Source organism: Homo sapiens, chromosome 18 (genome assembly GCF_000001405.40).
Source record: "Homo sapiens chromosome 18, GRCh38.p14 Primary Assembly".
Lineage (NCBI taxonomy): Eukaryota > Metazoa > Chordata > Mammalia > Primates > Hominidae > Homo > Homo sapiens.
In genome coordinates, this window is record NC_000018.10 from 9,471,237 (window position 1) to 9,496,746 (window position 25,510).

Genomic DNA, 25,510 nt, shown 5'->3' on the forward strand with positions numbered 1-25,510 from the left:
AATTTCTGACATTTTCGTGCACCTGTATCCTGAGCAGTGTACACTGTACCCAATACGTAGTCTTTTATCCCTCACCCTCCTCCTATCCTTTTTCCCTGCCCCGCCCCAAGTCCCCAAAGTCCACTATATCATTCTTATGCCTTTGCATTCTCATAGCTTAGCTCCCAAGTATAAGTGAGAACACACGGTATTTGGTTTTCCATTCCTGAGTTGCTTCATTTAGAATAATGGCCTCCAGCTTCACCCAAGTTGCTGCAAAAGACTATTTCATTCCTTTTTATGGCTGTGTAGTATTTCATGGTATATATATATATATATTATATATATTATAATAATATATGATATATCATATATATTATATATATTATATAAGATATTATATATATATCACATTTTCTTTACCCACTCATTGGTTGATGGACACCCAGGTTGGTTCTATATCTTTTGAATTGCAAATTGTGCTGCTATAAACATGTGTGTGCATATGTTTTTCATATAATGACTTCTTTTCCTTTGCATAGATACCCAATAGTGGGATTGCTGGATCAAATGGTAGTTCTACTTTTAGTTGTTTAAGGAAACTCCATACTGTTTTCCATAGTGGTTGTACTAGTTTACATTCCCTGTTTTTTCTTTTTCTATTTAAAGCTACAGTCTATGTCCTTGAGTCTGGCTTATTGCTAAAAATATCCTCTTTTTTATGGATGTGTCATTATAGCTCTTCTTTTACTTCATTTTTCTGTTTTTTGAATACGATAATTTCTCTATCTTCAAGTACACCTTTTTTGCCATCTCAAATCTTTCACTGAGATTATGTAATACAATTTATATTTCTCTTCTATATTTTTCAACTCTAGAAATTTCATTTTTATAGAATCATTTCCCTATTGATATCCTTTATATGTTAAAGAATTATCATTATATTTTCCTTTAATTCTTTGAAAAATGTTTACTTTTTAAAACATAATTATAAGACCTACTTTCAAGAGTTTGCTTCTGAATCCAGTATTTGAGCCCAATGGGTCTGTTTCTATTGGTTGCTATTTTCTTCCTCAGAGTGGGTGACACTTTACTGTTTCTTTGCATAAACCATGATTGTTGGTTGAAAAGCAGATATTTCATATATTGCAGCAATTCTAGATGTTTTATTTTTCTTAGTTTTGTTGTTGTTGTTGTTGTTGTTTTATCTTCCTGGATTTACACAGATTTAAAATCTGTCTCTATATGGCCTGTGGCTGCTGGTATCTTTGCTCTGTTTTTCAATTCACATTTTTATATTTACCCTGACTTTCTGGGCTTTGTCCCTGTGTTTGCATAGCTGTGGCTAGTCAATGATTTGGCAGTGGTTGCACTCAAACACCTTGATTTGGGAGTCTTCTTCCCTCTGCTAATGGATCTGTGTGTGGATTAAGGAATACATTCACAGTTGCCACCAGTTCTCAAGTCTCCCTTGGATTTACTTAACAGGTCTCTTGGGTCAACCCCAGGCAGATGCATAGTTTCCCAATCAGTCAGAGATGTGTGGAGATGTAATTAACAAATAGAGTATTTCTGTGGGGAAGTAGACTCTATAAAAAAGGATGATATTTCTAGAGTTGAAAAGTACAGGCTGGAGTGAGGTGGTGTGACCATAACTCTTCAATGACTCTTATTTCTAAAATCTCCCTGTTATATTTTTGACTGGCTTGCCATTTGCCCCACCTGGGACTGTAACCTCAGGTAAGCACAGCTGTGGGTTTGCCCTGTTCATTTCCATATGAGTTTGTCACTTTTAGTTGGCAAAGCCTTGGGTTTTTGACCACCCGCCCCAAATTGAGTCCATCCCTTTGGCAGCAAAGCTGCTAGTTTTCTTGGCTATTCCTACCCACACTGGCAAAACTGCAGTTCTGGTGCAACAGGGTGGGAGAGAAGCAGCCTCAGGCCAGAAGGCCACAGACATCTACTGTCCCTGCTAGCTGTTTCTGAAGAATAGATGTTTCTCAAATTGTTTTCTGTATTTGTTTGATTTCCAGTGCTCTGAAATGGTTGTTTTTGCCAATTTATCCAATTTTATACTGGTTTTGTGTGCAGAGAATTGCTGACTATGCCACACAGACATAGCTAAAAGTCCCTTCCACAGTTTTTTACGTAGGAACCTGTATTAGTTAGGACCTTTCAGAGTCATGTAAAAGAAATTCAACTGAATTAGTTAGGACTTTTAGAATTTTAATATGAACTGGCTTAAACAGTACAGGAAATTTGTGGTTCACAATTCTGGATAGTCTGTAAGATGGCCTTGCTCACAATCCCGAATAGTCTATAGGATAGTCCATAGAATCAAACAGGTGAGGTTTGATACTGCAGCTCAAATCATGCCACCAAACACAAGGTTCTTCTCCATCTTTCCCGCATTCATTTGACAGTACTGACTTCAACCCCAGGCTCTACTTGTTGCTGTCCCTCTAAACTCCCATCCCTCTAGGGTTTCCCCTTATAGGAGGAAAACGGTTGCCACATTTCCAGGCATCATATACTTACACCATGCTAGAGGAGCAAGGAAGCTACAGTTTACTGGAAGCCTCAGCCCCAGTCTTTGTGGGTTCATTGTTTCTGACTGGGCTTGTGACCATCTCTGCTGCTAGAGGGAATGGTTATGTTGCCTGGCTTAAATGGAAGGAATAAATGCTCAAGTGGCAGCCAACAAATACATTCAATATCCACACATATTGGCTCCAAATAATAAATCAATGAATGAGTGGGCTCACCCACTTAGGCTCACATGCTCACAGCACTTAAAGAGCTCCACAAACCATGCCCTCCAAATGAAACCACGGTCTACATTCTGCCAGCTCTTTCTCCCTTTCCATTTCTCCTTTCTTCTCTTTCACACCCTCACCTTTGGCTAGGCCACTCGATGTTGCAAGAAACACGTCCATCAGCAATTGCCTCAGTAGAAAACTCCCTCTGCTCCCCTCCTGCATCCACATAGCAGCTTCAGGCAAGGCCTCCATAAGGCCCAGCGTGGATCAGTGCCTGCCCCTTGGCCGAATCAGTGCTGTCACAGGCAGAGAATTGTCACTGCCATGCTCACCTGCCCAACCCAGTGGTCAGAGAAGACTGTTCTACTGCGAGAGGAGCCATGAGAAGGCTTTTCCGAAAGTCAAAGACCAATGGCTACCTCAGACCATCCCGTATCCACTCGTGGGAGGCCCCTGAATGAATCTAAGGCCCCAGGGGTTGAACTTTACTGAGTAGGGAGCGCAGAGTACTAGGGACAAATTTACCGCCCGCTTTGAGGAAAGCTGATGTGGGAGCAGAGAGCAAGATGGATAGCAGCGGCCAATCTAAACGGGCAACGAAGTGCCACAGAGTGCTGCACGTAGGAATGCGAGTGACAGGTAGGGTCGTCTATTCCAAGTCCCTCCTCTCCCCTAATAAACTGCCACATTTCAGAAAACACGAAGACTGCTGAAGCCGTTTCCAGCCTTCGCTACGCATTAGCAGAGCAACTCAACAAGCCTGGGTGAAAGGCTTCTCGAAGAAATTCAGTTATCTCTACTGCCAGCCAAACACGGACTGGGCAGCTTTCCTCGGGGGCTGCTCGGTAACTGCTGAGCCGGGGGCGCGCTGAAGCCCTGCAGAAGCCCACACCCGCTTCAGGAATTCCGTGGATGTTCCCGACAGAGGTTTATTCCCGCCTATCCCTACAGGCCCACGGCGCTCTTTCCTCCAATCCCACACCCAGTCGAAGGCGGGGCAGCCGCCCCACCCAGCGGCCAGCCGGGCGGCCCCCAGTCTGGTTTAACTGGTTGGAACGACTAAAGCACGCTGGCGCAAGGAAAGCTCTCAACTTCGGGAGCTGAGGCGCAGGCTGGCCAGAGCGTGGAGAGGAAAGCCCTTTCCATCCTCAAGGCCGTTGCAGGAGATGCCCGCGAGCCACCTTCGCCAGCACCACACCGGGGTAAGCCGTCCGTCCCCGAAACCCGCAAGGCCACCGACTGCGCAGGCGCCTGCAGAGCACTGGCCCTCGGCGCGTTCTCTCGCGCTCTTCTTCAGTCTCCTCAGCGAGCCTGGGGACGAAGGGGGCGCGGTGCCTCCTGGGTGTTGTAGTTTGCTTCCTTGGCGAGAGGCCTTCGGGCTGGCTGGACGCCGGGGCCTTGGGAACTACGCCTCCCAGCGCGCCCCGCGCGAGAGCCCAGGTCGCCTGCCCTTGACGGCTTCAGCCGTCTGAGCGGAGAGGAGGATCCGGGAAGCCGGCTGCGGCGGGAGGAGGGAATGCGCGTGCGCGCTGGACCGCCTCGTCCCGTTCCGTCCCAATCATTGTAAACAGGCAGAGGCTGGGCGGGGTGGGAATGGGGCGCCCGAGGCCGGCCTGGGGCGCAGCGCAGGAGGCGGCTCCGGTGGCTGCGGCGGCAGCGTGAGCGCGAGGAGGCGGAGGCTGCGGCGGGGCGGACGGTCGCGCGGCGGCAGGCACAGGTCAGTCGCAGGGAGCGGTCGCGTGCTAGGGTCGCGGCGATACCCCTGGAGTGCCCGAGGAACCCTCTCCCGCGCCGGCCTCGCGCCCGCGTCTGTCAGGCAGCGTGTGGGGCTCGGTGCTCGCAGCGCTCGGGTTTGAAGTTGGGGGTGGGGGGCGTGGCTGCCCCTGGCGTGGGTTCCTCCCCGGAAAGCTTCGCCCCAGTTTTCGCCCCCCTTGGCCGTGCGTCCCTCCCACTGGCCGACGGGCCTCCCTTCGTGGCGTCCTCGTTTGTGGTGCTCTCGGGGGCCGGGGGTGGAGAGTTAGGAGTCCCCAGGCCTCGGGGAAGCTCTTGGGGGGCGCCTGGACAGAGGCTAGGGGACCCAGCCCTCACGGTTGGTGGATCGTGCCCGGCATAGTGGCCAGGCTCCAGGGCTTACCCAGGGGACCAGGACAGGCTCCTGGTGTCGCCCACCGCTGGCACTGAGCAGTGGGCGCCTTTGGGTGCTGCGATCCTTCCTTCAGGTTTCAGTGGGAATGGACAGACAGATCTGAAGTTGAAAATTCTTTTCACAACTCATGTTCAACTATGTGTGTTGTCAGAATGCTCTTAATGAGGTCAGTGTTCTCCCTCTTTTTTTTAAAACTGATCGTTGTGAGAGTGAAACAGGTTTTACAGAATATTTAACACCTCCGTCTTCCCTGAAGTAATTCTGCTGTTTCAAGTTTTGGGATTCAGTATTACAAAGCCTTCCTCTTGAGCAAGGCCTAGTACAATTCTTCAAGGTCCCTAGCATGTTAATTCGAGGTGTTTTGAACGTGCATATACAGGAAGTGCAGCCGTTTGGCCGTTGAGTTAGTGCTCCATCCAGCCTTGTTAGAAAAGCTTTCGCTGAATTTTTAATTTAGTGGAGTGGTCATGTTCTAATGCTGCAGTACTTTGGGGAGTATTCCATTATACTTGGCAGTTATTAACGAAATACTGAACTTGTGATAAGGTTTTGTTTTGGTGCTCAGCATTTCTAAATGAATAAGTGGGACTGTGAATAAGAAAGATCACCTCACTTTCTGTTTTTAGAGTTATTGTGGTCATTTGATAACTCCTTTCTGTCTTTGTGAAAATAATTACTGTAAGCTGGAGTGGCGGTAGTAGGGGTAGGAAGGAGGTCAGTAGAGTGGTTTCCACCTCTCATTCAAAGTATCTGGTAGATCCAAGTGGGGTAGGTTAGTTAACAGTAGCTTTTTTTTTTTTTTTTTAGTTTTTTATTTTTTGAGACAGAGTTTCGCTCTTGTTGCCCAGGTTGGAGTGCAATGGCATGATCTCAGCTCACCACAGCCTCTGCCTCCTGGGTTCAAACGATTCTGCTGCCTCAGCCTCCTGAGGGGATTACAGGCATGCGCCATCACGCCCGGCTAATTTTATATTTTTAGTAGAGACATTTTCTCCATGTTGGTCAGGCTGGTCTTGAACTCCCGACCTCAGGTGATCTGCCCGCCTAGGCCTCCCAAAGCGCTGGGATTACAGGCGTGTGCCACCGCGCCCTGCCAACAGTAGTAGCTTTTGAGAAGTGACTCTTTAAACAAGGTATCTCGAAACAATGTAATACAACTTAGTTTGCTTTCTCTTCAGGATATTGTTTCTAATTATGGATCTTATCCAGACTATTTCTCCCCTAATTTAGAATAGGAAAGTGGTATCAGAAAGTGCATAATAACTTTAATTTGTACAGTTATATTTGCATAGTTGTTTGCTTGGCAAGAAGAGATCGGGCCCAGCATGTAACCCAAAAGAATATTGTTTCTGTTTTGAAAGATCCCTGATAGAAACTTATGTTAGTTTGTATAAGAGGGTACAAGGAAAAATGCAGATTATTTAGAATACAGGAATTACTATGTAGAAAGTACTGTGACCAGGTGAAGAGGACTTAAAGATACAGAAGGCAGTGTTCCTGCCTTCAGGGTAGTTGAACCTTATCTCTTACTTTAACTGTCAACAAGTACAAGATTGTTTTGATTGAAGAACATATGCGGGTACAGTGGATGTACAAAGGAGATAGTGGTCAGTTTCTTAAAGTGAAGAAAAGAGCTGAAGAAGAGGGAAACTGTAAGGAAAAACTATGTAGAAGGTGATGAAAATCAGGAGTGTACAGGCATAGAAAGAATGGGCATTTAGGTAGAAGGAGCAGTGTGAGAAAAAGCATGGGAGTCTAAAATTAGAGAGTAGCATCTGCAAAAATAGCAAGTATAATACAGGGTGGTGGCAAGACCTGAAACTGGGGAGATAGGCAGAGACCAAATTATGGATCTTGCAGACCATCAGAATAATTACAATTTTATTTTATAAGCAAATAGGAGTCATTGAGAGGACAAAGAAGAGACCTAAGCCAGCTCAGCCCATTTTTAACCCTCTGCTATAGGTCAGGCACTGTATTAGGTACTGTATATTTTATGTCCTTAAGCTTAAAGAAGGCTTAGTCATGACTAATGCAGAAATTGGGGGGCTAGGGCAGGGATGGGGAAGGAACTTTTAGAGGGAAAGGTGGGCAGAAACGTAGGTGAGAAAGAACATGGAACACTTTTTTTTTTCCCAATACAGACACCATCACTCAGTTTTATTGGTTTTGTCTTATTAGCCTCTGAAGTAGGCAATTATTGGTGTGAACATACATTTTGAAAAACATCTGGAGTCAAGAGTGCACGAGTGTCAACTCAGTGCAAGTACTGTTGGTAAGCATTATGTCCCGAGGATGAAATCGGAGGACCAACAGGCCCAGGAGGCTTCACAGCGAACACCACATGCCTCGCGCCCAAAAGGACAGCAGACCGCGCTTCAGAACGGAACCGCCTTCTCCATGTAAACTTTTGACGTAAACTGTGTGCTTCAGGGTGGCCTCTTCTTCTCCGAGATCCTCTCCTGCGTCCCGAGTTTGGGAATGGCCCGGCCGTGCTCAGGCCCAGGCGGTGGAGGCCTCGGTGTAGTAGTGCCGTGCTTGTCGACGTTCCCAGGAGTCCGGGTTCAGAAGCCCCCTCTCCGGTGGATTGGCAGCTTCGCGGTAGCTGGGCTAGTCTTCCTCTGGAAACTCAGTAAAAAGAGTCGGCGCTGTCCGCCTGAGCGCGGGTTTCCTACCGAGCTAGAGGCCAGCCTGCCTCAGGCGCAGAAGGGTTTGCCGCCGGCCTTGGTCAGGGCGAGCAGCTCCCTGGTGGCGCCCAGAGCTGGGGTGTCCTGGGGCGCGGCAGGCGGAAAGGCACGCGCGGGCCAGGGGTGCAGTCAGCACAGAATATGGAAGAGAATGGGAAGTTGTTTTCTGTAGCTGTAGCATTAGTTGTGGTGATAAGTAGCAGAAGATGAGGTTGCAGGTATCCTCAAAAGTATTGCGTGCCATTCCAAGGACCTTACCATTTTTTCCTGTAGATAACAATAGGGTTTATGTATTTTAATGAACAGAGAGACATGATAAGATTTTTCTTTTTATTTTTTTTTTACTTTTTTGAGATAAGGTCTCACTGTGTCACCCAGGCTGAAATGAAGTGGCACTCACCGCACTCCGTCATGGCTCACTGCAGCCTCGACCTCCCAGGCTCCAGCGATCCTCCCACCTCAGCCTCACGAGTAGCTGGGACCACAGGTGAACGCCACCACACCTGGCTAATTTTTTGGTATTTTTTTTTTTGTAGAGATGGAGTTTTGCTGTGTTGCCCAGGCTGGTCTTAAACTTTGAGCTCAGGCAGTCCACCCTCCTCGGCCTCCTAAAGTGCTGGGATTACACGTGTAAGCCACCATGTCCGGCCAAGATTTTTATTTTAGAAAGATCATTCTGGAATTGTAGAGTAAGGATTTCAGAAGGGATGGAGAGAAGGTAAGAATGGATGTAGAAAGACTGTTTAGGAGGTTTTTGCACTAATCGAAGTGAGAAATAAGGGTCCAAACTAAGGCAATGTTAGAGGGGTTATGGAGGAGGAGGGTAATAGAAATATTTAGAAAGTAGAATTCATAGGATTCAGCAACAATTGGATATGGGGAGTGAGGGAAAAATAATAGAATAAGATGACTTGGATTTTAACTTGGGTGATTGAAGAGACAATGGTAAAATATACTGAGATGGGGAATTCAGGAAGAGAAGCACATTTGAGGAGAAACAGTATTTTAGCTTCAGAACATATTGAGTGGAAGTTATCTGTGAAACATCCAGGTGGAATCATCTGCTATGGAACTGTGAATGTGGATTTGGAGTACAGTATAACAGGCTATATTATGAGTGGTATCTGAATTCTTTGATTTAGATAACACCAAATAAGAAGAGTTTGTTAACATAAAATAGTTCTGGAAATAGGCTGTGGAGAACATTTAAAGCCAGATAGAAGAAGAGCTGGGAAAGGAAATTCCTAAGTGTTTGGAGATGTAGAGAAATCATGAGAAAATGTCATAGAAGCCAAAGTGGGATCTGGCACCATCACAGCTCACTACAACCTCCGCCTCCTGGGCTCAAGCCATCCTCCTACCTCAGCCACTCAAGTAGCTGGGACTGCAGACACATACCACCACACCTGGCTAATTTTTGTATTTTTGGTAGGGATGGGGTTTTGCCATGTTGCCCAGGCTGGTCTTGAACTCCTGGGCTCAAGCGATCTGCCTGCCTTGGCCTCTCAAGTGCTAGGATTACAGGTGTGAGCCACTGCATTGGGCTGGGATCATTTTTAAAGGAAGTTATACTTCACAATCAACTCTCAAGAAAAAATAGAAATTAATTTTTTTTTTTAAAAAAGGAAAGCCTCAGGCACAGTGGCTCACACCTGTCCTCCCAGCACTTTGGGAAGCTGAGGTGGGAGGATTGCTTGAGCCAAAGAGTTTGAGACCAGCCTGGGAAACATAGGGAGACTGGTGTCTCTGCAAAAAAAAAGCAATTAGCTGGCTGTGGTGGTGCACACCTGTGGTCCCAGCTACTCAGGAGGCTGAGGTGGGATGATCGCTTGATCCTGGGAGGTTGCGGCTGCAGTGAGCTGTGATTGTGCCACTGCATTGCAGCATGGGTGACAGAGTGGGACCCTGGCCTAAACAAAAGGAAAGCCATACTTTAAATGCTTTGAAAAGTTGAGCGAAAGAAGTTATTAAGAGTCTATTGATTTGGTATTGAGGAGGTTATTCAATTTGATAACTGTGTGAGAACAGTTTTGATAGAATGGTTGGGGGACGAGGTAGGTTTCATTGAGTTGAGGAGTTGAGGTTAGAGAGTGGAAAAGCATATGTAGATTATAATAAATAAATCAATTTTAGCCATGAAGGGGAGAATAGAAAGAGGTGGTAGCAGAGGGTGATAAAGGGTTAACAGATTTTTAACATGGCAAAGACTTGAACCTGCTTTTCTTTTTTAAAACAGCTTTATTGAAATATAATTCACGTATCCATAAAATTCACTCCTTTAAATTATACAATTCATTGGTATGTAGCATGTAGTTATTCATTGGTCTGTGTGACTTAATTTTTTTTTTTTTTTTTTGAGACAGAGTCACACTCTGTCACCCATGCTGGAGTGCAGTGGTGCAGCCACAGCTTATTGCAGCTTGACTTCCCAGGCTCAGATAGATGATCCTCCGACTTCAGCCTCCTGAGTAGCTGAGACTACGGGTGTGTGCCACTATGCCTGGCTAATTTTTTGTATTTTTTTTGTGGAGACGGGGTTTTGCCATATTGCCCAGGCTGGTCTCAAACTCCTGGGCTCAAGTGATCCACCTCTCTCGGCTTCCCAAAGTGCTGGGCTCAATGAGCCACCACGCGCAGTCTCATTGGTTTTTAGTACAGATGCTTCTCTACTTTTCTCTACTTACGACACAGTTACATCCTGATAAACCTATAGCAATTCGAAAATATTGTAAGTGGAAAATGCATTTAATGCACCTAACATCATAGCTTAGCCTCGCCTACTGTAAACATGCTCAGAACACTTACATTAGCCTACAAAATCCTCTAACACAAAGTTTATTTTATAATAAAGTGTGGAATATCTCATGTAATTTATTGCATACTGAAAGTGAAAAACAGAATGATTTTATGGATACCATGTAAAGTTGAAAAATCCCAAGTTGAAACATTGTATGTTGGGGACAGTCTGTATATACAGAGTTGTACAGCCATCACCACAGTCAATTTTAGAACATTTTCATTACTCCCCCAAAAAAACCTCCCCATTAGCAGTAGTCACTCACTATTTCCCCTGCCCTCATTAATCTACTTCTGTATCTCTTGATATTTCAGATATTCTGGATATTTCATATAAATGAAACCATATATATCATCTTTTGCAACTGCTTTCCCTCACTTAATGTTTTCAGGGTTCATCCATATTGTAGGATATATTAGCACTTCATATTTTTTATTGCAAAACAGTACTCTCTTATCTGGATATACCACATTTCATTTATCCATTTATCAGTTGAACATCTAAGTCGTTTCTCCTTCTTGACTATTCTGAATAATGCTGGTGTGAATATTCATGTACAAGTTTTTGTGCGGGCATACGTTTTCATTTCTTGTGTATATACCTAGGAGTAGAATTGCTGGGTGTGATGTTATACAATAAGAAATATATATTTGGTCTTGGTCTGGTTCCTAGCCTAGAACTTCAAAGATCCTTGGAACTCCCTGAGTAATAGAGGTAATAGAGCATATTTTGGAATTCATAATAAGTCTCTCAGTCACATCTGAATTTATGCTAATAAAGTGATTCTTGGTAGGCCCCTAGACAACTTCAGGATGGAAGCTGGTTGCCAGAAGAACCAACTGTGTTGATTAGAGAGTTGGAACTTGCAGCCCCACCCCTGGATGGGTGAGGGGGTGGTGGTGAGGACTGGGTATTGAGATCAGTTATCAGTGGCCAGTGATGTAATCAATCATGCCTGTGAAATGGGACCTCCATAAAATCTTCTAAACAGTGGTTTTCAGAGAGATTCTGGGTTGGTGAATGCATCCTTATGCTGGGAAGGTGTTGCTTCAACTTCATGGGACAGAAACTCCTATACTTGGAACCCATCTCGGCCTCACCCTTGTGCCTTTTGATTTGGTGGTTTATTTATATCCTTTATAATAAACTGATAGGCATAAGTAAAGTGTTTCCCTGAGTTTCGGTGAGCCATTCTTGCAAATTATTGAACATGAGGAGGGGGTTGTGGGAACCCCTATTTATAGCTATTTGGTCAGAAGTACAGGTGGCAATGTGCAGCTTGTGGCTGGTAACTGAAGTGAGGGTAGTCTTGTGGAACTAAGCCTGTGGAGTCTGACATAAACTCTGGGCAGTTAGTGTCAGAATTGAATTATAGGGCACTCAGTTGGTGTCTGGAAAGTTGGAGAACTGTATTGGTATGGAAAAACACTTCCACATGTGGTGTCAGAAGTGTTGTTAGAAAACAGCTCATGTGGTAACTCTTGTTGAACAGTTTGAGGAACTGCCAAATTGTTTCCCAAAGCGACTGCACCATTTTATAATCCAATTCTCCAATTTCTCTACATCTTTGCCAATACTTGCCATTTGCTTTTTTAAATTTTAGCTATCTTGGGGTGAAGTGGTATCATGTTGAGGGTTAGATTTTCATTTCCCTGGTGGCTAAGATGTTGAACATCTTTTCATGTGCTCATTGGCCATTTGTATATTCTCTTTGTGGAAATATCTACTGAAATCCTTTGTCCATTTTTGAATTGTATTGTTGGTTATTGAAAGAGTTCTTTGTATGTTTGGTTACTAAATGTTTATCAGATATATGATTTACAAATACTTCTGTTTTCTGGGTTGTCTTTTCACTTTCTTGATAATATACTTTTGATGCATTAAAAGTTTAAATTTTACAGTATAATTTATCTGTTTTTTTTTGTTTGTTTGTTACACAGGCTTTTGGTGTCATGTCTACATTGCCAAATCCAAGGAATGAAGATTTATTCCATACTTTCTTCTAAGAGTTCTGTGGTTTTAGTTCTTATATTCAGTTGTTGGTCCACATTTTTATATGGTGTGAGATAGGGGTCCACGTTTTTTTGTTTTGTTTTGTTTTTGAGACAGAGTCTCACTCTGTCGCTCAGGCTGGAATGCAGTGGCACAATCTCAGGTTACTGCAATCTCTGCCTCCCAGGTTCAAGCAATTCTCATGCTTTGGCCTCCCGAGTAGCTGGGATTACAGGCGAGCGCTACCACGCCCGGCCAATTTTTGTATTTTTACTAGAGATGGGGTTTCACCACATTGGCCAGGCTGGCCTCAAACTCCTGGCCTCAAGTGATCCACCCACCTTGGCCTCCCAAAGTGCTGGGATTACAGGCGTGAGCCACTGCGCCCTGCCAGAGGGGGTCCACTTTTTTGCATGTGGTACTCTAGTTGTCCCATCCTCATGTGTTGAAGAGACCATTATTTCCTGATTGAGTGGTCCTGATATCCTTGTTGAAAAATCAGTTGACCACAAATGTCTGGGTTTTTTCCCCTGGACTCTTTGTTTGATTCTCATGGTTGATATAGCTATCCTTATGCCAGGTACCATGTGCTGTTTTGATTACTGTGGCTTTGTAGTACATTTTGAAATTGAGATGTGTGAATTCTTCGACTTTGCTGTTTCCAGTATTTGTTGGCTCTTCAGGGTCCCTTGCAATTCCATATGAAACTGAGGATCCATTTCTGTAAAAAAGGCCATTGGAATTTTAATAGAGATTGCATTGAATTTGTAAAACATTTTGGGTAGTATTTCTGTTTTAAAAATATTAAGTCCTCCAATCCATTAACAATAGGATGTCTTTTCACTTATTTAGTTTGTCTTTAATTTCTTGCACAATATTTGTAGTTATCAGTGTCAAGTCTTTCACTTCCCTGGTTAAATTTATTTCTATTTTTTTTTTAGGTGCTGTTGCAAATGAAATTGTTTTTTAAATTTGTTTTTCAATTTGTTTTTCACAATTGTTTTTCACAATTGCCTAGTGTTTAGATATACAACTTATTTTCTGTCACCTTATATCGTGTGACTTTGCTGAACTCCTTATTAGTTCCCATAGTTTTCTAGTGTATTCTTTTGAGTTTTGTATATAAGATCATGCTGTCTGTAAACAGAGATAGTTTTACCTCTTCTTTTCCTATATGGGTATCTTTTATTTATTTATTTTTCATTCCTAATTGCCCAGGCTAGAACTTCCCATACAATGCTAAATGAAAGTGGCAATAACAGACTTCCCTGTCTTGTTCCTTATCTTAGGAGGAAAGCTTCCAGTCTTTTACCATTTAGTATAATGTTAACTGTGGGTTTTTCTTTCTTTTCTTATTTTTTTTGAGACACGGTCTCATTCTGTCACCCAGGCTGGAGTGCAGTGGTACAATCATGGCTCACTGCAGCCTTGACCTCCCAGGCTCACGTGATACTCCCACTTCAGCCTCCTGAGTAGCTGGGTCTACAGGCATGAGCCACTATGCCTGGCTAATTTTTGTATGCTTTGTAGAGACAGGGTCTCCCTATGTTGCCCAGGCTGGTCTGGAGCTCCTGGGCTCAAGCTTCTGCTTCAGCCTCTCAAAATGCTGGGATTATAGGCATGAGCCACCATGCCTGGCAACTGTGGGTTTTTCATTGATACACTGTATCAGTTTAAGGATGTTCCTTATGTTCCCAGTTTGTTGAGTACTTTGTTGAGTGTTTGTCAAGTGTGTTGCTTAATTATCTACATATTTTTGAAGTTTTCAACATTTTGTCTGTTATCGATTTTCAGTTTCATTTCATTGTGATCAGAGAACATACTTTGTATGATTTTAGTCTTTTAAAGTTTATTGAGGCATCTTTTATTGCCTAACATATGATCTGTCCTGAGACTGTTCCATGTGCACTTGAGATGGATTCGTATTACATTGTCTTTGGGTGGGGTGTTCTATAGATGTCTGATAGATCTAGTTGCTTTATAGTGTTGTTCAAGTCTTCTTTTTCATTGTTGATCTTTTCTCTAGTCTATCCATTATTGAAAGTGAAGTATTGGGAGTCTCCGTTTATCATTGAACTGCCTCTTCGCCTCTCACTTCTGTCAGTTTTTGTTTTGTATCTTTTGGAGGCTCTGTTGTTATGTGCAGTGTATGTTTACAATTGTTGTATCTTGTTGATGGATTTACCCATTTATCATTATATGATATTTAAGAGATAGTCTTCATTGTTTGGTATTAGCATAGACTTTCTTTTATTTTTATTTTTTTTGAGACAGAGTCTTGCTCTGTTGCCCAGGCTGGAGTGCAGTGGCACGATCTCGGCTCACTGCAACCTCTGTCTCCCAGGTTCAAGCGATCCTCCAGCTTCAGCCCCCGTAGTAGCTGGGACTACAGGCATGTACCACCATGCCCGGCTGATTTTTGTATTTTTAGTAGAGACAGAGTTTTGCCGTGTTGGCCAGGCTGGTCTCCAACTCCTGAACTCAGGTGATCCACCCGCCTCAGTCTCCCAAAGTGCTGGGATTACAGACATGAGCCACCGCACCCGGCCTAACATAGACTTTCTAGTTCCCTTTTGGTTACTGTTTGCATGAAATCTCTTTTTCTTTCTTTCTCTTCCTTCCTTCCTTCCTTCCTTCCTTCCTTCCTTCCTTCCTTCCTTCCTTCCTCCCTCCCTCCCTCCCTCCCTCCCTCCCTTCCTTCCTCCCTTCCTCCCTTCCTCGTCTCGCTCTGTCACCAGGCTGGAGTGCAGTAGTAGCACGATCTTGGCTCAGTGCAATCTCCGCCTCCCGGGTGCAAGCAATTTTCCTGCCTCAGTCTCCTGAATAGCTGGGAGTACAGGCTCGCGCCACCACGCCTGGCTAATTTTTGTATTTTTAGTAGAGACAGGGTTTCACCATGTTGGCCAGGATGGTCTCCATCTCTTGACCTTGTAATCCACCCACCTTGGCCTCCCAAAGTGCTGGGATTACAGGTGTGAGCTACTGTGCCCAGCCTGGAATATCTTTTTCTATCTTTTTACTTTCAGCTTATTTCTGTCTTTGAATCTAAAGTGAGTCTCTGTAGACAGGCTACGATTGCATCTTGTTGTTTTTTAAATCTGTCTGCCAATAACTATCTTTTAATTGAGGAGTTTGATTTATTTACATATTACTGATAAGAAAGAACTTCTGCCATATTGCTATTTGTTTTTGATACATCTTTTTTGTTCCTCAATTCTTCCATTGCTGCCTCCTTTTGTGTTAAATACATACTTTTCATTGTACCATTTTAATTCCTTTATGTTTCATTTGTTATATATTTTCGTAGTAGTTGACCTGGGATTACAATTAACATCTTAATTTGTAACAATCTAGTTCAGATTAATATCAACTTAATTTTAATAGTGTAGAAAACTTTACTCCTATGTAGTCCTACCCCCTTTATGCTGTTATTGTCACAATTACATCTTTATACATTGTATGCTCATCAACACTGATTTACAGTGATTGCTTTATGCAGTTATTTAACTCAGATAGGAGAAAGAAGAAATACAAACAAAAATACATTTATACTCTTTTTAATATTTACCTACATACTTTTTTTTTTTTTTTTTTTTGCGACAAGGTCTTGCTGTCTTGCCCACACTGGAGTGCAGTGGCATGATCCTGGCTCACTGCAGCCTTGACCTTCTGGGCTCAAGTGATCCACTTTGGCCTCTGAAACTGTTGGGATTATAGGCATGAGCCATCATGCCCGACTGTAATTACCTTTACCAGTGTTCTTTATTCATGTGGATTTGAGTATCGTCTAGTTAGTGTTTTTTCAAAGCAGCATGATGGACTCCCTTTAGCGTATTTTTTTTAACAGGATAGGTCTACTAGCAGTGAGTTCTCTTAGTTTTTCTTAATCTAGGAATATCTTTTCTTTTTCTTTTTTTTTTTTGAGACAGAGTCTCATCGCTCTGTTGCCCAGGCTGGAGTGCAGTGGCGTGATCTCAGCTCACTGCAACCTCCACTTCATGGGCTTAAGTGATCTTCCCACTTCATCCTTCTGAGTAGCTGGGACCACAGGTGTGCACCACCACACCCAGCTGTTTTTTTTTTTCTTTTTTTGTATTTTTTGTAGAGATGGGATTTTGCCATGTTGCTGAGGCTGGTCTCGAACTTCTGGGCTCAAGTGATCTGCCTGCCTCAGCCTCCCGTATATCTCTTATGTTCTGTTTTAAGGGATTCTGTATTCTTTCTTTTTTTTTCCTGATCCTCAGACTGACCTATTTCAATTAACCTATCTTCATGTTCACTGTTTCTTTGTTCTGCCTGCCCAAATAAGCTGTTGAGCCCTTCTAGTGAACTTTTCATCTAAGTTATTATACTTTTCAATTCTATAATTTCTATTAGATTTTTTAAAAAATTCTCTTTATCAATACTCTCTTTTTGGTGAAACAGAGTTATCTTGCTTTCCTTCAGTTTTTAAGACATGGTTTCCTTTAGCTTTAGAACATACTTAAAATAGCTGATTTAAAGTTCTTATGTAGTCAGTCTAGTCAGTGTCTGGGCATCCTTAGGGACAGTTTCTTTTTTCTATTTTTGTGAGGCAGAGTCTCACTCTGTAGCCCAGGCTGGAATCCAGTGGCGCAATCTTGGCTCACTGCAACCTCCGCCTCCCGGGTTCAAGCAATTTTCTTTCCCATCTTGGCCTTCCAAAGTACTGGGATTACAGGCGTGAGCCACCGTGCCTGGCCTGGAACAGTTTCTGTGATTGCTTTTTTTTTTTTTAATGGATCATTCCTTCTTGTTTCTTTGCATATGTGTAAGTTTTTGATGAAATTGGACGTTTTGACTCCATCGCTATATTTCCTAGTTTCTTTACAGATGGATAGGCGGCTGGATGAGATATAAATAATATGATTGTCTTTTTAGTTAAAAACATGTAAAATTTAGTTTATTTTGAAAAAGATAATACCCATGGCACATAAAGGTTAAATTGTCTTTCCCCCTTTACCCTTTTCTCAGCTGAGATCTCTTTGAAGGGATAAAAACTTAATATTTCCTTGTATATTCTTCCAGAGATGTTTTATATACATGCAAGTAGTATGTGTGAACATGTAAATACTCTATTGTAAACAGTCACGAGGAAGTAATATGTACAGGAAGGGAATCAGTATTTGTTGACACCTATTGTGTAACAGGCACTGAGCCTGTTTCTTTATATTTGAGGGAAGTGTTTCAAACTGATCGCCTTGAACGTTTATACAATTATTTTATGAAGCTTTTATATAAAACGTTATTGAAAACAAAAATACTGGCAGAAGTCATTTGGAATTGCTTCTAGAGCTGGCACCATGTATTGAAGCATGGCAGTCCCTCAACAAGTGAAGGTTAAGTTAGTTCAGAAGCACTAAAAATTGAGAACCAGGTATTGTGATAGGTTGAAAATAAAACTTTATACCATTGCCGATGTTTAAAAATGAGGTATACTTGTCATTTATAAAACTGTTGTTGTGTGACTAGAACTTTCTTTGTAAGCTTTTTTATATGTATTGACTTTTCACAATCTGCCATTGATAGGTGCCATCAGATAAATACATAATAAGGAACTATTATTGAGAAATGAGGATCGAGGGGGAGATGAGAGAAGAAAGATTTTTAAGGAAAATGCAAAAATTGAAGTAGGACATTGGCAATTTTCAATGTTTCCTTCCAAAGTAGAAATATGATTTGTTTTGTTTTTGTTTTTTTGTTTTGTTTTGTTTGAGCTGGAGTCTTGCTCTGTCGTGCAGGCTGGAATGCAGTGGTGTGATCGTGGCTCACTGCAACCTCTGCCTCCCGGATTGAAGCAATTCTCCTGCCTCAGCCTCCCGAGTAGCTGGTACTACAGGCATGCACCACCACACCTGGCTAATTTTTGTATTTTTAGGAGAGACAGGGTTTCACCATGTTAGCCAGGCTGGTCTTGAACTCCTGACCTCAGGCAATCTGCCTGCCTCGGCCTCCCAAAGTGCTGGGATTACAGGCGTGAGCCACTGTGCCTGGCTTCAAAATAGGAATATGAATCAAGAACTTAGACTTTCTGCTTGAGAAAATTATGAGAAAAGAAATTGCAGATATAAAGCTGAAGAAAAGCTTACTTAAGTCCATTTTCTTACCACTACTGAGGTAACAAACAATTGAAAAGCAGTGGGTAAAATTCTAAGTTTTTCAACAAAGCTTAGCATTTTAAGGAAAAAAAAAACTGTATTACAACATTAGAGTTTGCTTCTTCAGATATTCCTCAGGTTACTTTTCAAATTAATGTCTTAGAAGCGTTATGATTGTATAAAATTTTTTTGTAGTCAACTGAAGCCATAAAAGCATCATTTCCTTCCTTTAGGTCTAAATGATGGAATAGTTTTACATGATGATAACGAGTTATAGAATATAAGTTACAAGACAGGAACAATCTGCTAATGTGTGTGTGTGGTGTGTGTAACAAGTTTTTTTAAACAAATAATGATTGTTACTTTTAACAACTTAATTTGAACTTTTATTATCATGGTTTAGTAAATAGTGCTTTTACTTTCTGCTTTTCTTTAATCAAAATAATTCACTATGTAAGTAAAGAGTTTAGTTACTATGTAACATTTTAATTCCAAATCTTGACTTTTGGCCTATTTTGCCTGCGTAAGATTAGTATTTTTACTTCTGTCTCCAGATTTTATTTAATTCCAGGAAATAATGCAGCAGCTGTTGTTATTTATTTATTTATTTATTTTTTAGGCAGAGTCTCACTCTGTCACCCAGGCTGGAATGCAGCGGCATGATCTTGGCTTACTGCAACCTCAGCCTCATGGGTTCAAGTGATTCTCATGCCCCAGCCTCTTGAGTTGCTGCAATTACAGGTGTGCACCATCATGCCCAGCAATTTTTTCTATTTTTAGTAGAGATGGGGTTTCACCGTGTTGGCTAGGCTGGTCTCCATCTTCTGGCCTCAAGTGATCCTCCCACCCCGGCCTCCCAAAGTGCTGGGATTACAAATGTGAGCTGCTGTTAATTCTTACGCAGTACCTTTATATCCTAGACAGTAATTTTATTCCTATTTTCCATTTCTTTCCTCTAAAATGTTACCTTGTGATAGGGCTTGGCTGTGTCCCCACCCAAATCTCAAGTTGAATTGTGTCTCCCAGAATTCCATGTTTTGGGAGTGACCCAGAGGGAGGTAACTGAATCATGGGAGCCAGTCTTTCCCATGCTATTCTCCTGATAGTGAATAAGTCTCTTGAGATCTGATGGGTTTATCAGGGATTTCCACTTTGGCTTCTTCCTCATTTTCTCTTGCCACTACCATGTAAAAAGAGCCTTTAGCCTCCCGCCATAACTCTGAGGCTTCCCCAGCCATGTGGAGCCATAAGTTCAATTAAACCTTTTTTTGTTCCCAACTTCTGGTATGTCTTTATCAGCAGCATAAAAACGAACCAATACACCTTAACTGAAATCTTCATGGGGTGGTGGTTCTTACTTACCCAACCAAGATAATTGACCACTTTATAACTTTTGAGCAGCTCTCTACATTTAAATGTTTACAGATCACCTATTAAGGAAACTTCTACTTAGAATTGTCAGCTGAGGATTTTCTCTAACTATCGTGGGTGATATTAGACCTACTTGTTATTCTATATCAGTAGTTAATAATCTAAGGTAATTTTTTCCTCAATCTCATTTTTAGGAAATTTTTTTGAAGAAAATTATAAAAATTAATATATATATTTTCAAAAATTTAAGTAGGACCCAAATGGAGCCCTTTGTCCCCCCAAGTCCTCTGGTACCACATCCCATACATTAACCCAGATGTCATATCATTTCATCCAGGTATATTTTAGTGTGTATCTCTAACCACAACACAGTGATCACACTAACAAAAATTAACAATTGTTTCTTAATATAAAATATTGAATTAATATTCAGATTTCTCTGATTTTCATAACTTTTTTTCCTAACTATTTTTTCACTTCTTTTCTTTTTTGAGACAGAGTTTGTCTCTGTCACCCAGGCTGGAGTGCAGTGGTACGATCTTGGCTCACTGCAGCCTCTGCCTCCTGGGCTCAGGCGATTCTCCTGCCTCAGCCTCCTGAGTAGCTGGGATTACAGGTGCACGCCATCATGCCCAGCTAGTTTTTGTATTTTTAGTAGAGACGAGGTTTTGCTATGTTGGCCAGGCTGGTCTCAAACTCCTGACCTCAGGTAATCTGCCTGCTTTGGCCTTCCAAAGTGGTGGGATTACAGGTGTGAGCCACCATGACCGGCCCCTAACAATTTTTTCAAATCAAAATCCAAATAAGCTCTATACATGGCAATTGGTTGATGTCTTTTAAGTCTTTCTTTTTTTTCAAGGTAATGTGTCATTTTTTTGTAGTATTTTTGTGTTTCTTAACCTTTTACAAAAATAGACTTTATTTTTAAAGCTGCGTTTGTGTTAGAGTTCGCTCCTGGTATGCTGTACATTCCGTGTGTTTAGACAAATGAATAATGAACATGTGTCCACCACTAAAGTACCAATACAGAATAGCTTCACTGCCCCAACAATCCTCTGTGTTCCACCTATTCATTTCTTCCTCCTCCCTAAACCCTGGCTACTACTAATCCTTCTACTGTCTCTATAGTTTTGCTTTTTGCAGAATGTCATATGGCCTTTTTAATTAACGTCTTTTTTTTTGAGACAAGGTCTTGCTTTGTCGTGCAGGTTGGGGTGAAGCGCTGGGATCTCAGCTCACTGCTGAGCCTCTACCTGCTAGGCTCAGGTGATCCTCCCATCTCAGCCTCCCAAGTAGCTGGGACTACAGGTGTGCACCACCACACCCAGCTAATTTTTTCTTTTTTTTTTTTGGGTAGAGATGAGGTTTTGCCATGTTGCCCAGGCTGTTCTCTGACTGCTGTGCTTAAGCAGTCCGCCCACCTTGGTCTCCAAAAGTGCTGGGATCGCAGTTGTCAGCCACTGTGCTCAACTTCTTTTACTTAGTAATATGCATTTACATTTCCTCTGTATCTTTTCATGACTTGATAGCTCATCTCTTTTTAGCACTAAATAATATTCCATTATCTGGATATACCACAGTTTATCCATTGCTGCCTTTTTTGGGGGGATTTATAATATACCTGCTATAAACATCTATGTGCCGGTTTTTGCATGTACATAAGTTCTCAATTCATTTGGGTAAATACCAAGGAGTGCGATTGATGGATCATATAGGAAGAGTATGTTTAGTTTTGTAAGAAACTGCCAAGCTTTCTTCCAAAGTGGCTGTGCCATATTGCATTCCTATCAGCCATGGATAAAAGTTCCTGTTGCTCTATATCCTTGCCAGCATTTGGTGGTGGTAGCATTTTGGGTTTTGCCATAATAATGGTATGTGGTAGTATCACATTGTTTTAATTGGTAGTTCTCCAATGATATAGCATGCTGAGCATCTTCTCATGTGCTTATTTTCCATTTACATATCTTTGGTGAGGTGCCTGTTCAGGTCTTTTGCCCATTTAAACAAAATGAATTGTTTTCTTACTGTTTAGTTTAAAGAGTTTTTTTTTTTTTTTTTTTTTTTTGAGACAAAATTCCCCCAGGCTGGAGTGCAATGGCACTATCTTGGCTCACTGCAACCTCTGCCTCCCAGGTTCAAGCGATTCTCCTGCCTCAGCCTCCCGATTAGCTGGGATTACAGGCGCCTGCCACCATTCTCGGCTAATTTTTGTGTTTTTAGTAGAGACGGGATTTTCATGTTGGCCAGGCTGGTCTCGAACTCCTGACTTCAGGTGATCCGCCTGCCTTGGCCTCCCAAAGTGCTGGGATTACAGGCATGAGCCACCGCACCTGGCCTAAAGAGTTCTGTGTATATTTTTGGGTAATAGTACTTTATTGGATATATTTTCTATAAGTATTTTATTTCAATGTGGCTTGTCTTTTCAATCTTTCAGTCTTAAGACTCTTAATTTTTATGTTCACCCTCCCTCTCTTTTTTTTTTCCAGAGCATTAACTAAAGAAACTAAATTGTATATCCTATAGATTTTGCAGCTTGATCTGTGTGATATGAGATATATAGATCTATCTGTTTATCTATCTGTCCATATATGTTTTCATCCAGAATTCCTGGCTCATAACTCCCATAGCCCCTGTTATTTCTTAAGTGACTTAAACAATAAGCATATCTTTTGTTAAAGTATTTTGCCTTTTGTCTTTGGTTCCTGAAGAAGCTTTGAAACAGCTTCTGAGCAATAAAGGTGAAAGACAGTCTTTTGTTATAATGTTGGAGTACTTTAGATCTCAGAAGTAGGCCTCAGAAGACAGATCTCTCTCTCTCTGGCCTTCTCCTGGTCTTTGTTCACTTGCTCATTTTTCTCCCCAAGGCAGGCCATAGAAACTAAAAACATGCTCTAATCTTCCCCCGGCTTTCTGTCCACAAGCTGGCCATAAAGGAATTCTCTGACTTACATTGTCTGATTTTAGGTCATAAGACCCCCATTTCAAAATGGATCTTGTCCCATACCATGGAGGAAGCAATGCTGCACAGAGAGGCCAAGAAGAATCTGAACAAAACAGGCCTTACTGGGTTTCCCCACTCAATCTATTAGTATTAGATTATACCCTTTTTGTTCAGTCGCATTTCTGCATGTTTGTCCATACTTCAACATGCCTATCCAATGAAGTCTCCATCAAAAATTTAAGAAGATGGGGTTCCGAGAGCTTTTTGATTGCAGAACAGGTAGAAGTTCCTGGAGGTTAGTGTAGCCAGAGAGGGCACGGAAGCTCTGCACTCCTTCCTACATGCCTTGCCCTGTGCATCTCTTCATCTATACCCTTTGTGTATCCTTTATAATAAACTGAACATAAGTGTAAACCTAAGTGTATTCCTAGGTTCTGTGAGCTGCTCTAGGAAATTAATCAAACCCAAGGCAGGGGTCATGGGAACCATGATTTATAGCTGGTCCCATCAGAAGTGTTACTGGAAAGATGTCCTGATCAGAACCCAGGATAGGGTTTTTAGACCTCACCCAAGAAGGAATTTGAGGAGAGTCCTTAAAGTGAAAGCATTAGTTTATTAAGAAAGTAAAGAAAGAAATGAATCGCTACTCCATAGGCAGAGCAGCAGCATGGGCTGCTCGACTGAATATACTTATAGTTATTTCCTGATTATGTGCTAAAGAACGGTTAGATTATTCATGAATTTTCCAGAAAAGGAATGGGTAATTCCTGAAACTGAGGGTTCATCCCCTTTTTCGACCATATAGGGTAACTTCCTGATGTTGCCATGGCATTTGTAAACTGTCATGATGCTGGTGGGAGTGTCTTTTAGCGTGCTAATGCATTACAGTTAGCCTATAGTGAGCAGTGAGGATGAGCAGAGGTCACTTTCATAACCATCTTAGTTTCGGTGGGATCTGGCCGGCTTCTTAACCACATCCTGTTTTATCAGCAAGGTCTTTGTGACCCATATCTTGTGTTGACCTCCAATCTCATCCTGTGATTAAGGATGCCTAACCTCCTGAGAATGCAGCCCAGTTAATCTCAGCCTTATTTTACCCAGCCCCTATTCAAGATGGAGTTGCTCTGGTTCAAATATCTCTGACGGAAGCACAGGTAAAACAGCCTAGGGCTTGCAATTGGCGTCAGAAGTTGGAGGCGGGCAGCCTTGGGGACTGAGCCGTCAACCTGTGGAATCTGATGCTACGGATGGTGTCAGAATTAAATTGGAGAACACCCAGCTGGTGTCCACTGCAAAGTTGATTGCTTGCTTGGTGGAGTAAACCCCTATATATCATGGTATAAGAGCAGAGAAAAAACTGATTTTCTACATAATCAGATTGTTTTGTTTGTTTATTTTTCAGGGATAGTGTGTGCATCCATCAAGGAGCTCTTCTCTTTCTATCTCTTGCTCTCTTTTTTTGGTGTTATTAGCAGCCGTTGATGATCATTGCCAGTATCCATTTTTATTTATCTATAAAGTGGTGTAAACAAAAAATAAAATTCTAAGCCCCCCAACTGACTGATGGACCCCCCTCTAGGTTAAGGGAGTTTCAAACTAAACCTGAAAAACTAGTTCAGGCCATGAAGGGAATGGGAGGTTGGGCATGCATCATTATACCTTCCTCCCCTTGGAATTCAGACATAACTGACCAGCATTAACATTAAAACAGAGATCTTAAGACTGACAAAACAGACTTTGTAGCAATAAGATACCAAATTCCAATCTGACTCTAGTATAACATCACATGACAGATGGCAGGCCCTGAAAGAAATCAAGGTATTTCACCTCAAAATATATTTATTGGACATATTTTGAAATAGCCCTGCAAAGCTGTCTCTTGTGGGGAAAATCTGCATTTTCTAGAGAATCCCCTTCCCTTTCCAGATCTTTTTCCTGATCTAGAAGCAAATTAACTAGAGTCTGGCATCTTTTTATGTCTGATAAGAGCTCTGAAACCGGCTACCTGGAGGTTTCATCTGCATGATAAAAATCTTGGTCTCCACAACCCCTTATCTGAACTCAGATGCTCCTTTCTATTGAGTCTAGATCTTTAGATAATAACAACTCTTTCAACCAGTTGCCAATCAGATAATCTCTGAATCCACCTGTGACCTGGTAGCCCTGGCTTCAAGTTGTGCTTTATTTCCAGCCGAACCAGGATACACTTTACATGTATTGATTGATGTCTGCCTTTAACTTCTGTCCCCCTGAAATACATAAAATCAAGCTGTAAAACAACCACCTTGGGCACATTTCTCAGGACCTCCTGGGGCTATGTCATGAGTCAGTGTCAGAGGTGTTTGAACCAGAACATCTCTGTCTTGAATAGGGGCTAGGTAAAATGAGGCTGAGACCTACTGGGTTACATTCCCAGGAGGTTAGGCATTCTATGTCACAGGATGAGATAGGAGGTCGGCACAAGATACAGGTTATAAAAACTGGTCGTGGTAAAGAAGTCGGCCATATCACACCAAAACCAAGATGGCAACGGAAGTAACCCCTGGTCATCCTGGCTACTCATATATGCTAATTATGATACATTAGCATGCTAAAAGACACTCCCACCAGTGCTATGACAGTTTACAAATGCCATGCCAATGTCAGGAAGTTACCCCATATGGTCTAAAAGGGGGAGGAATCCTCAGTTCTGGGAAATGGCCACCTCTTTCCTGGAAAACTC

The 25,510-nt window shown here is 42.2% G+C and overlaps 1 protein-coding gene and 1 pseudogene across 8 annotated transcripts in view, besides 4 other annotated features; one reads left to right on the plus strand and one right to left on the minus strand.

Annotated features, from left to right (window-relative positions):
• The first annotated feature begins 3,772 nt into the window (after positions 1-3,772).
• Positions 3,773-25,510, plus strand: part of RALBP1 (ralA binding protein 1) — a 63,106-nt gene continuing 41,368 nt past the window's right edge. Inside the window, exons 1-3 of one of the 8 annotated variants that reach the window (XM_047437284.1) lie at positions 4,459-4,588; positions 4,958-5,050; positions 7,029-7,286. The gene's annotated coding sequence lies outside the window, so the exon portion shown is untranslated. The other 7 variants (XM_047437282.1, XM_047437281.1, XM_047437280.1 and 4 more) reach the window with 7 other exon arrangements.
• Positions 4,208-4,617: a silencer, noted in NCBI's record as "silent region_9283". NCBI's record gives its function as "represses an Ori minimal core promoter by ATAC-STARR-seq in GM12878 lymphoblastoid cells {active_cell/tissue: GM12878}" and the evidence as "EXISTENCE:reporter gene assay evidence [ECO:0000049][PMID:35858748]".
• Positions 4,208-5,109: a biological region, named in NCBI's record as "H3K27ac hESC enhancer GRCh37_chr18:9475475-9476343".
• Positions 4,241-5,109: an enhancer, noted in NCBI's record as "H3K27ac hESC enhancer chr18:9475475-9476343 (GRCh37/hg19 assembly coordinates)". NCBI's record gives its function as "activates a minimal SCP1, AML or CMV promoter by ChIP-STARR-seq in naive H9 embryonic stem cells {active_cell/tissue: H9 hESC(naive)}" and the evidence as "EXISTENCE:reporter gene assay evidence [ECO:0000049][PMID:30033119]".
• Positions 4,848-4,907: an enhancer, noted in NCBI's record as "active region_13075". NCBI's record gives its function as "activates an Ori minimal core promoter by ATAC-STARR-seq in GM12878 lymphoblastoid cells {active_cell/tissue: GM12878}" and the evidence as "EXISTENCE:reporter gene assay evidence [ECO:0000049][PMID:35858748]".
• IRX4P1 (iroquois homeobox 4 pseudogene 1) lies at positions 7,038-7,707 on the minus strand (annotated as a pseudogene).